General features: G+C 38.0%; 1 pseudogene, besides 1 other annotated feature; it reads left to right on the top strand.

Annotated features, from left to right (window-relative positions):
* OR7E100P (olfactory receptor family 7 subfamily E member 100 pseudogene) lies at positions 919 to 1,933 on the top strand (annotated as a pseudogene).
* Positions 3,691 to 4,191: an enhancer, noted in NCBI's record as "H3K4me1 hESC enhancer chr3:112240775-112241275 (GRCh37/hg19 assembly coordinates)". NCBI's record gives its function as "activates a minimal SCP1, AML or CMV promoter by ChIP-STARR-seq in primed H9 embryonic stem cells {active_cell/tissue: H9 hESC(primed)}" and the evidence as "EXISTENCE:reporter gene assay evidence [ECO:0000049][PMID:30033119]".

The raw sequence follows: 12,501 nt of genomic DNA, 5'->3' as shown, positions 1-12,501 counted from the left end.
ATATTACAAATAATATCACAGGGTGTACGCCCACTCTGATGTCAGGAGCAATATCTCTCTAGGATATCAAAAATAATATCACAGGGTGTACAATCTCTGCCTTCCAGGTTCTAAGGGATTCTCCTGCTTCAGCCTCCTGAGTAGCTAGGGTTACCTGCCACCACGCCTGGCTAATTTATTTTCACTAGAGACTGGTTTCACCATGTTCGCCAGGCTGGTCTGGAACTCCTGACCTCAGGTGATCCATCAGCCTCGGCCTCCCAAAGTGCTGGGATTACAGGTGTGAGCCATCACGCTCGGCCAAGAGTTATATATTCAATTAATTTGGAAACACAGCTCCCATATTTGAGTGTGCATGTACTTTTATGAAGAAATGATGTCAGAAAACCTAAGGATGATAATTAATATGAAAAGTAACTGGCATGTTAAAAGGTCTTCCGATTAAGAACTGTATAAGGTTTGATTTCGTTTTTAGATAATGCTGTCCTAGCTCTTGTATCGTCCTTTTAAATATTCTACATCAAAGGAATTTGTAGCACAGTGTCAGAATAAAAAAGGTGTATTTCACTGCTTCTGAATTTCTTTCAATTAGACAGATCTTTTTCTTAAAGAGAGAAGAACATTTTTATTTGCATTTTATTTTTTCTGAAATGAGTAGGCCATATTTTACTGAGATCACGGATTTGTTATATATTACATTTTGGTTTTCTAACATTCTTCAGTGGATTTGCTCTAAAGTATGTACAGAAAGAGTTGAATAGCAAAAAAGTAAATCATGTAATAATTCTGAGATTTCTGGGTTTGTCACAACTGAGAAATATTGCTGACGGTGTATGGTCCTCAAATGTGAAAATGTTCCTTGTGAATTGCTTGTATCCAAAATATACACACAGCATTAAGGGCTGGTTTTTATCTTTTATTTTTCCAATCCTCTTTTCTTCTCAAAAAAAGAGGTGTCCAAGTCACACAGAGCCATAGAATCTCACAAGTGTCTCAGAATTCCTTCTCCAGGGACTCTCAGAGGATCCAGAACTGCAGCCCGTCCTCGCTGGGCTGTCCCTGTCCATGTACCTGGTCACGGTGCTGAGGAACCTGCTCATCATCCTGGCTGTCAGCTCTGACTCCCACCTCCACACCCCCATGTACTTCTTCCTCTCCAACCTCTCCTGGGCTGACATTGGTTTCACCTCGGCCATGGTTCCCAAGATGATTGTGGACATGCAGTCGCATAGCAGAGTCATCTCTTAAGCGGGCTGCCTGACACAGATGTCTTTCTTTGTCCTTTTTGCATGTATAGAAGACATGCTCCTGACTGTGATGGCCTATGACCAATTTGTGGCCATCTGTCACCCCTGCACTACCCAGTCATCATGAATCCTCACCTCTGTGTCTTCTTAGTTTTGGTTTCTTTTTTCCTTAGCCTGTTGGATTCCCAGCTGCACAGTTGGATTGTGTTACAATTCACCTTCTTCAAGAATGTGGAAATCTCTAATTTTTTCTGTGATCCATCTCAACTTCTCAACCTTGCCTGTTCTGACGGCATCATCAATAGCATATTTATATATTTAGATAGTATTCTGTTCAGTTTTCTTCCCATTTCAGGGATCCTTTTGTCTTACTATAAAATTGTCCCCTCCATTCTAAGAATTTCATCGTCAGATGGGAAGTATAAAGCCTTCTCCATCTGTGGCTCTCACCTGGCAGTTGTTTGCTTATTTTATGGAACAGGCATTGGCGTGTACCTAACTTCAGCTGTGTCACCACCCCCAGGAATGGTGTGGTGGCGTCAGTGATGTATGCTGTGGGCACCCCCATGCTGAACTCTTTTATCTACAGCCTGAGAAACAGGGACATTCAAAGCGCCCTGTGGAGGCTGCGCAGCAGAACAGTCGAATCTCATGATCTGTTCCATCCTTATTCTTGTGTGGGTAAGAAAGGGCAACCACATTAAATCTCTACATCTGCAAATCCTGCCCCTTAGTCCCATTATTTTTGTTGCTTGATGGCTTTTATTCCTTTCCACTTTTCCTATGTGAATATTGCTTTTTTCATTATGTCTTTGACTGGAATGGGTGAGTATTCTGGGATCTTTTGTGTAGCATAAACCTCATGACTGAATCCTCTATACCTGGGCGGCCTCCTTTAGTTTCTGAGCAATAACCCTGTCATCCATGTGGAATCACAACCATCTTTTTATATACAGGAAGTCCTCACTTCATTTTGGAATTCCCTGAAAATTGACTTTATAGAAACAATGTACAGCCGGTCCTCCAACACCATTGTTTTGTTCAAAGTTGTTTAGTTGTAATGTTGATGAGGAATAAGTGGTTTCACTATCCATAATTTTGCTTAAAGGTGAAGTTTCCAAGAGACTTTCAAAGATGTTAAGTGAGCACATACTGTACATCAAATTCATATCCTCTTCCAGAGTTCATGTGGAACTTCTTTATAAACTGCTTGTAGAGAATCTATTTAGGCAGATTATGTGTAGAGATCCATGTCACGGGTCCTCAATCTTGGCTTTGAATCAAATCACCCGGGGCACTTACAAATGATGAGGCCTGGGTCTCATGACCTGAGATTCTGATTTACTTGCACCTGTGTGGGTATGCGGATTTTTTTTTTTTTTTTTTTTTTTTTTTTTAAAGCACCAGAGGTGGTTCCAGTGATGAAGTTTTTAGAGGCATCAAACCAATGAGTAAGAACAGAAGTTAATTGTAATATGATTTCTTCAAATATTATCTTCAAATGCATTGTTCTTCAACACCATACAAATTTTTATTATGCTGTTTTTTCTTACCATTTGGCATTTTCTTTTTTTCTTTTTTCTTTTTTCTTTTTTTTTTTTTTTGAGACAGAGTTTCACTGTTGTTGCCCAGGCTGGAGTGCAATGGCATGATATCGGCTTACTGCAACCTCTGCCTCCCGTATTCAAGCGATTCTCCTCTCTTAGCCTTTCAAGTAGCTGGGATTACAGGCATGCACTATCACACCCAGCTACTTTGTTTTTTTTTTTTTTTTTTTTTTTTAGTACAGACTGTTTCTCCATGTTGGTCAGACTGGTCTTGAACTCCCGACCTCAGGTGATCCGCCCGCTTCGGCCTCCCAAAGTGCTGGGATTACAGGTGTGAGCAACAGCGCCCAGCCACCACTTAGCATTTTCATTTTACATTTGTTGAAGTTATAGATTTATACACCCATTGATTGCTGTTTTATTATACACTTGCATATCCATAAAATGGGAAATAGAAAAGAATAAAATGGGCACAGTATCCCTAAAGTTTCACATTCTGAGACATTTTAAAAATATTTGCTTTTTAGAAATTTGTGTCAATTAAACTGGTATACACATACAATGAAGTATTATTCAGCCTAAAAAGGACTAAAATCCTCTCCACTGCAGAAAAAATGGATGAGATTTCAGGTCTGTATATTAAGTGAAATAAGCCAGGAACAGAATGACAAATATTACATGTCCTCACTTACATGTAGGAACAAAAAAGAAAATCTTGGCCAGGTGTGGTGGCTCAGGCCTGTAATCCCAGCACTTTGGGAGGCCGAGTTGCACGGATCACTTGAGGCCAGGAGTTCGAGACCAGCCTGACCAACATGGTGAAACCCCGTCTCTACTAAAAACACAAAAAATTAGCCATGCGTGGTGACGCGTGCCTGTAGTCTCAGCTACTCGGGAGGCTGAGGCCCAAGAATCCCTTGAACTCTGGAGGCAGAGGTTGCAGTGAGCCCGGATTGTGCCTGTATACTCCAACCTGGGCAACAGAAAGAGACTCCATCACACACATACACACAAAAGGAATCTCAGGAAGGTGGAGAGTATAAAGGTGGTTAGCAGACGCTAGGAAGAAAAGGGGTGGGATAGGGAATGAAGAGAAGTGGATAATTGGGTCCCAAAATACAGAAAGATGGAATAAGTGAGTTGTAGTGTTTGCTAGTACAGCACGAAAATTTTAGTTCACAAGAATTTCTTGCATACTTCCAGATGCTTTGGTAAGAAGCTTCCTAACTTTCTCATTATGCTGGTTTTTAAGTTATTCTCTTTCTGCTCCTGAAATCATGCTGGTTTTTTGTTTTTGTTTTTTTGAGACAGAGTTTCACTCTTGTTGCCCAGGCTGGAGTGTAATGGTGCGATCTTGGCTCACTGCAACCTCTGCGTCCTGGGTTCAAGCGATTCTCCTGCCTCCACCTCCTGAGTAGCTGGGATTACAGGCATGCGCTAGCACGCCCAGTTAATGTTGTATTTTTAGTAGAGACGGGGGTTTCTCCCTGTCGGTCAGGCTGGTCTTGAACCCTTGACCTCAGGTGATCCACGCACCTCAGCCTCACAAAGTGCTGGGATTACAGGCGTGAGCAACCGTGCCCGGCCCATGCTGTATCCTTATCTGTTGTCTGTTGTTGTTTGTTTGTTTTTGAGCCCAGGAATAACTTCTCACCTATATGTTCAAATGATTTTTAACATGAGTGCTAAGAAAGTCCAGCAATCTCACTACTGGGTATTTATCCGGAGGAAAGAAAATCTATGTATCAGAGAGATTCCTGCACCTTCATGTTTATTGTAGCACTGTTAAAAATAGTCAAGATATGAAATGTCCATCAAAAGATGAATGGATAAGGTGGTGTATATACACAAAATGGAATTCTACTTGGCCATAAAAAAGAATGAAATCTTCTAATTTGTGGCAACATGGATGAACCTGGAGGGCATGTTAACTGAAATAAGATGGCTCAGAAGGATAAACACCACATGTTCTCACTCATATGTAGGAGCCAAAAAAACAAAAAAGAGCTCATAGAGAGTATAATTGTGGTTTTTAGAGTCTGGGAAGGGTAGTGGGGAAGGAAGAGTAGTGGGGAAGGAAGAGTAGTGGGGAGGAGAGGATACGGAGAAGTTCGTTAACAGATACGAAATTATAGCTAAAGAGGAGGAATAAGTTCTAGTGTTCTGTAGCACTGTAAGGGAAATATTGTGTATTTTTTAAAAAGCTAGAAGAGAGGATTTTTATTTTGAATGTTCACATCATAAATGTTTGAGATAATGAATATGCTTAATTACCCTGACTTGATCATTACACATTGTATACATATATTGAAATACTACTATATATCCCATAAATATGTAGTTATCACATGGCAAAGAAAGAAAAACAATGAAATATTAATAGGCAATTTACAGAAACCCAAAAGTCCAACGAGTGTGTAAAGATACTCAAACTTATCAGAGAGATATGTATTAAAACAATAAGATGCCTCTTTATCTAGTGAAAAATTAGGCTGGATAGTTATTAGCATTCAAAGAAATGTGAAGGTAGAGGAACTCTTGTGCACTGCTGATAGGGTATAGACCAGCACAGCCATTTTAGGGAGTAACCTGGCAGTATCGAATCCAATTGAGTATACCTCACTCCTGAGTTTATACCACAAAAGAATACATGCAGAGGACCTTAAAGGATTGTATAGGAGGATGCTCACTGCTGTGTTGGTTGTGGTGGCGGGAGTTGGAAGTAATCTGGTCTCTTACTACTGATAGACTTACAAAGGATTATGCAGCAATTAGAAAGAGATACACGTGAAACAACATGAATAGATCTTAAATATAGATCTGAATTTTTAAAAGTTATTTGTAGTTAGCTCTACCATTTTTATTTGGTTACCTATATGGCAACATAAATATAATATCTAAACCCAAACTCCTGGTTTTATATCTGCTGCCAAAAAAGTAACTGCCACAACTGAACTAACAATTAAAACCCTTGCTCCTCTAATAATCTTTCTCATCTCAGTTAATGCCACTACTCTCCTCAAAATTTGTCCTGAGCCAAAAATTTTAGGAGCCATCTTTTGTTCCTCTTTCTCTCTACACTCACTCCACTAACACATATCCCAGCTCTCAGGAACAAGCTCTGTCCTCTCTACCTCCAAAATACATCCTGGTGCATAGGATTTTCTGCCCTGAAGTAGCACCTCATGTGATTCCAATGCAGGAGTTTCCTGAATCACACTTTGAGAAACTCTGAAAACATGCTCTCCTGCTCTGTTGAGGAGTAAGCTTTTCCTTTTTGGTAATTTTAGGAAGATAATAATTTTTGGCTTTTTAGAATAAAGATCGTTGTGATTCCATTGTTAATAATCAGTGAATCAAAAGATCCCAACTAGTAATATCATTCCAGTTTTATCACCAACACAGCTGACAGATTGAAAGTTTAATGAACAGCAAGTAATTAAGGCCTAGGCTTTAGAACCAATATTTAATTCCCGGGTCTCTTACTTTTAGTTGTGTAACCTTGGTTTGTTTATTTACCTCTGAACCCCCAGGTTCCACATCTACAAAATGAGAGAGCATTATCTAGCCATAGAGTTGTTAGGAGGATTTGGATGTAAAGCATGTGGCACAGTGCTTGACCTCAACATGGCTGCTGCTAAAATGACAATAATGATAATAATCACTATTGCTGTGACTACTACCACTACTAGAACTTCTAGTTTTGAGGCCACAGATACTAAGAACATCCAGCAGAGGGCAATGGAACAGCACAAGATTTAAGTTAGTATATGAGCCTACTGGAGATGTGTCACATTTACCAAGCATTATTTCTACTTTTATATTTCTTATTTTAATGGAAAGAAGAGATGGATGTTATTGATGGACCTCTTTTATATTTGAGATTCTCACTTCCCCAATTATTGAAGAATGATGGTACATCTATATCTATACAATCCTCGCTTAGAACTTGCAATCTCAATCTCCTAATGTATTAGTCTGTTTTCACGCTGCTGATAAAGACATACCCGAGACTGGGTAATTTATAAAGAAAAAGAGGTTTAATGGACTCACAGTTCCACATGGGTGGGGAGGCCTCACAATCATCACAGAAGGAGAAAAGGTATGTCTTACATGGCAGCAAGCAAGGAAGAAATGAGAGCCAAGCAAAAGGGGAAACTCCCTATAAAAATCATCAGAACTTGTGAGACTTAGTCACTATCACAAGAACAGTATGGGGCAAACTGTCCCCACGATTCAATTACCTCCTACCTGGTCCCTCCCACACATGTGGGAATTATGGGAGCTACTATTCAAGATGAGATTTGGGTGGGGACACAAACCATATCACCTAACATCTTTCAAATTTTTTAAATTTAAAAAAAATTTTTATAGAGACAGGGTCTTCTATGTTGCCCAGGCTGATCTAGAACTCCTGGGCTCAAGTGATCCTCTCACCTCAGCCTCCCAAAGTGTTGGGATTACAGGTATGGGCCACTGCACCTGGCCCTCCTAACAGCTTTGTCCCTTACCCCAATGTCCCCCTTTCTAAATAATGAGAGGAGTGGAATAAATATTTGGTTTTTAAGTCCTGTACCCAAGAGCCATTGGTGCTGTTGAGCTGCATCAGGGCTGTCAGGGATAAGTAGGAAGGCTCCACTTCTCTCCCCACCACTGTCTACCAAAGTAACTCAGCATTTATCTGTTTGATACATTGGATTTTCTCATAAGATTTTATTTTGGAAAAAAAAAAAGTTAAAAAATAGATGCTCACAAATGCCCCTTCTGCCTCTATCCAAAGAATCTAGTTTGCTGGGGCCTTTGTTGTTGTTTTAACAAATAATAGTATTTCTTATCTAGCATTTTTTAACATTTGGCCAGTTCATCAGTTGCAAAATCAGTTATTGTGTCTTTCTTAATATGAAATGATGGAATACAATCAAACAAGTAAAAATATCAACATACATTAGCAAGAAAAAATTTTGTTCTTTGTTCCAGCTATGTCTGTCTATGCATACTGGGTAGAGTGGTAAAATTAATTTCATATTGTAGATTGTGAAAAATTTGAAATTTTGAAAGCCACTGCTATATATATATTGAAAATTTGAAAGCCACTGCTATATATATTGATACAGTTTTTGCTTTTATCACTGTATTAATCTGCTAAGGCTGCAATAACAAACTACCACAGATTGAACAGAATGGCTTAAACAACAGAAATTTATTTTCTCACATTTCTTGGGGCTAGAGTATAAGAAGATGTTAGCATGGTTGTTTCCTCTGAGGCCTCTCTCTTTGGCTTGTAGGTGGTTGTCTTCATGTTCACATGGTGTTCTTCCTGTATGCATATTGTTAAAGAAAAAAATTATTTTATAATGCTTGTTGATGGGCATTTGGGTTGATTCCATGTCTTTGCTGTTTGTGAATAGTGCTGCAATGAACATATATGTGCATGTATCTTTATAATTGAATGATTTATATTCCTTTGGGTATATACCCAGTAATGGAATTGCTGGGTCAAATGGTATTTCTGGTTCTATGTCCTTGAGAAATCACCACACTGTCTTCCATAATGGTTGTTCTAATTTACATTCCTACCAACAGTGTAAAACTGTTCTTATTTCTCCACAGCCTCACCAGCATCTGTTGTTTTTTGACTTTTTAGTAATCACCATTCTGACTGGTGTGAGATGGTATCTCATTGCGGTTTTGATTTGCATTTCTCTAATGATCAGGGATGTTGAGCTTTTTTTCATATGTTTGTTGGCTGTACTTCTTTTGAGAAGTATCTGTTCATGTCCTTTGCCCACTTTTTAATGGGGTTTTTTTTTTCTTGTAAATTTGTTTAAGTTCTTTGTATACTCTGGATATTAGACCTTTGTCAGATGGATAGATTGAAAATGTGGTACATATACATCATGGGATACTATGCAGCCATAAAAAGGAACAAGATCATGTCCTTTGCAGGAACATGGTTGGATCTGGAAGCCATTATCCTCAGCAAACTAACACAGGAACAGAAAACCAAAGGCCACATGTTCTCACTTATAAGTGGGAGGTGAACAGTGAGAACACATGGACACAGGGAGGGGAACAACACACCCTGGGGCCTGTCGGTGGGGGTTGGGGGAGGGAGAGCATCAAGAAAAGTAGTTAGTGTATACTGAGCTTAATACCTAGGTGATGGGTTAATAGGTGCAGCAAACCACCATGGCACATGTTTACCTGTGTTTACTTATGTAACAAACCTGCACATCCTGCAGGTTATGTACCCTGGAATGTAAAATAAAATAAAAAACTAAAGTTCAGATCTTGAAATTGTAAAACAGAGAACATAAAGCAAACACACTTAATATGTTACAAAGAAAATGAGAAATGCAAAAATAATAATAATAATAATACTTATTAAAGCACAGTGAAGAAGACTTTATTCAGGACCATTGCAATAGGTATAGGTAACACCACAATGAGATTTTGCAGCCTGGGAGAAAGATTGGACTTAATTCCAAACACAGCATGGGCAAGTGGGAATTTATAGCCAAGGAGCAGGGTGGGGGTCAATGGATGGAAAATTACTAAAAGGAAACATCAGGGGTGAGGAAGATTTCAGCTAAACCAACTTCACAGGATTCTTGCTAAAAACAGAACAAGGTGATTTATTACCTGTGGGATAGTGGAGGATGAGGAACTTGATCAGATGTCACGGTTGATCAGCTACTGGGGGAGAGGGGTTCTTACTAAATGAGTTTTTGGATAAAGCAGATTTTACAAGGAGGTGCACAGATGGGCCTAGGAGAAGGTTAGGGAGCCTGACTGAAGTTTGGTCAAGTTAGAATCTGTGTCAATATCTGTACAAAATTCCTCTTCTTACAAGGACATAAATCATATTCGATAAGGGCCTACATTACTGACTTCATTTTAACTTAGTTACCTCTTTAAAGACCCTATTTATAAACATAGTCACATTATTAGGTATTGGGTATTAGAAGTTCAGCATGAAATTTGGTGTAACACACTTCAGTCTATAATGATCACATAAAAAATCTTGGAGATCAATCCATACAAACACATAAAGGCTGCTTCATTTTATTTCATTATTGGACTATATTTCCTTCTCCTTCTGTCTTACTCCCCCCTACACAACCTCAAATAATAATTAGTGCTTTTGTAAAGGATTATGAGTTCATTGTAAAAATTGCAAACAAGTACAAAGAAGAAAATAAAAAATCAGGTTCATTATTATCTCTTGGAGCTAATATTTTTGACATTTTGATGAATATTCTTTTAATGAGCCCTTTGTGTCTAAATACATATATAGATGTATATGTTCATGAATATATGTAAATGAGTATATGGATATGTATGCATTAACCAAAACTGGGATTGTACCATTTATGTATTCCTGTAATCCTCGTCACTAAACAATATGAGGGGACCGTCTTCTTTAAGAAATATATTAATAGATCTATATTATGATTAACAATGCTTACCTAGTATTTAGTTGTATGGATGTTCAATTAATCATCTAACAGGTCATTTAATTTGCTTATATTTTTTCTGTTATAATCAAGACTTATGTCTTGATTACATCTTTGCACACTTGTGTGATAATTCCCATGGAGTAAATTCTTGGAAGTAAGAATACAAAGTTGGCAGCCACTTTACTATTTTAATATATACAATAATTTTAAGCTATCTTCTAAATAGTTTATACTAATTTATACACTCACCACAAAAATTAAAAAAACATGAGTTCTTATATATCTACACTGTCACTAATAATATTAGAATGTATTATTTAGCATTTTTAAAAATAAAATTAGTTTTTATTTGCACTTACAAGTGAAAGCATCTTTTCTCCCAACATTTTATTTACAACATACAACAAAGTTTGAATTCATTTTACAGCAAACACTAATGCACACCATCTTGATTCTACCATTAACATTTTACTATAGTAACAATATAACTATCCTTCTATCTGTACCTTTACCCATCCATTTAATTCATCTTTTAAAATGCATTTTAAAGGAATTTACAGGAATCCATACACTTTACCCAAATTGCAGTTGACCATTGAAAACACAGGTTTGAAATGTTTGAAATGTGCAGGTTGACTTATATGTGGATTTTTTTCAATACATATATTGGAATTTTTTTTGGAGATTTGTGACGATTTGAAAAAACTCAGATGAACCACTTAGCCTAGAGATAACAAAAAAATTAAGAAAAAGTTATGTCATGAGCATATAACATATAACAAAATATAAAAAGTTATTTATCAAAACTGACACAAGCAAACACACACCATACATGGTGCAATTTGAAGTTCAGAAAAATATAAACAAATGTAAAGGCAGTATTAAACTACACAAAATTAACTGTAGTACATACTTGACTCAGCTGAGTGACCAGAGGCCTTGTGGGTGTATCTGGGCAAGGGGTTAGGGGGGTTGAACCCCTGTGCAGCAGCCCTACAGGGAAACACCCAACAAAAATTATTTTTTAAAAAGGCTCATCCAGGAAATGCATATAAGGGCTGGTCACCTGGCGTTTTGAGTCCTCTCACAGGTCATAGACCTCTGGAGAGAGAAACTGAAACACTTAAGAGGGTGAAAATGACTCAATGGTAACACACTGTGGAGTCTTGAGTGCAAGCAGCACACATCACCACACAAAAACGCTAGGCCACAGCTCAGTTATTTTAAGAAAAAAAATGAGAAAATAATAATCTAAGAATGAGGAGAAAACAAGGAGAATGATCCCCTTTCAAGCACTCCATAGGTTTTATGGCACCTCCACTTGCCAGAGTTTATGTGAAATGGAAGTAATATGGTATTTGTGCATATATATGTTAATGAAAAAGAGCACTAAGGTCAACCTGCAAACTATAGAGTTCCTAAGTTCTCTTTTTTCCCTATTTTCCTTTCTGCCAGCTTTAAATCTGCTGTTATTTTTCTATTAAGATACAAAGCACTGTTTGGACTCAGCAAGCTGTTTGTTTGCAAGCAGGTGAATTTGTGTTTGCCTCATGGCTTAAGTTCTGAAGTAAAAGCTATAAGATTTTGTGTGTGTGTGTGTTTGTGTGTGTGCATATTTAAAAGGCCTTTATAATTTATGTAATTTTATGTTGAATTGGCAATTAAATCCATTTTAACTTCCTTCTAGCACAGGAGACTTTTTCTTTCAGTACCTTATAATGTAAATTTTGCTGTTTGATTTTCACCTGTTTCCTTTAATATGCAAATTTAAGGCTAGTTAGCTGACAACTGCCTAGGGTAGTAAAACAGGTTATCAAGAAATTGAGGCTGGGCACAGTGGCTTACTCCCGTAATCCCAGCACTTTGGGAGTCTGAGGCAAGTGGATCACTTGAGGTCAGGAGTTCAAGACCAGCCTGGCCAACATGGTGAAACCTCATCTCTACTAAAAATACAAAAAAATTAGCCAGGTGTGGTGGCACATGCTTGTAATCCCAGCTACTCAGGAGGCTGAGGTACAAGAATTGTTTGAACTTGGGAAGCAGAGGTTGCAGTGAGCTGAGATCACGCCACTACACTCCAGCCTGGACAACACAGTGAAACTCCGTCTCAAAGAAACAAAAAAAAATTTGAAAGTCTTAAGATAGGGAAAAAAGATCTTTAAGAATCTGTAAAGTGTACTTCTGTCAGCATACCTAATACATCTATGTATTTATGCATTGTGTACATGATGTTTCACTACTGAAAAT

This window comes from Homo sapiens, chromosome 3 (genome assembly GCF_000001405.40).
Source record: "Homo sapiens chromosome 3, GRCh38.p14 Primary Assembly".
In the NCBI taxonomy this organism is placed as follows: Eukaryota; Metazoa; Chordata; class Mammalia; order Primates; family Hominidae; genus Homo; species Homo sapiens.
The sequence above is the reverse complement of the archived record's forward strand: the minus strand, read 5'-3'. Positions and strand labels throughout refer to the sequence as shown.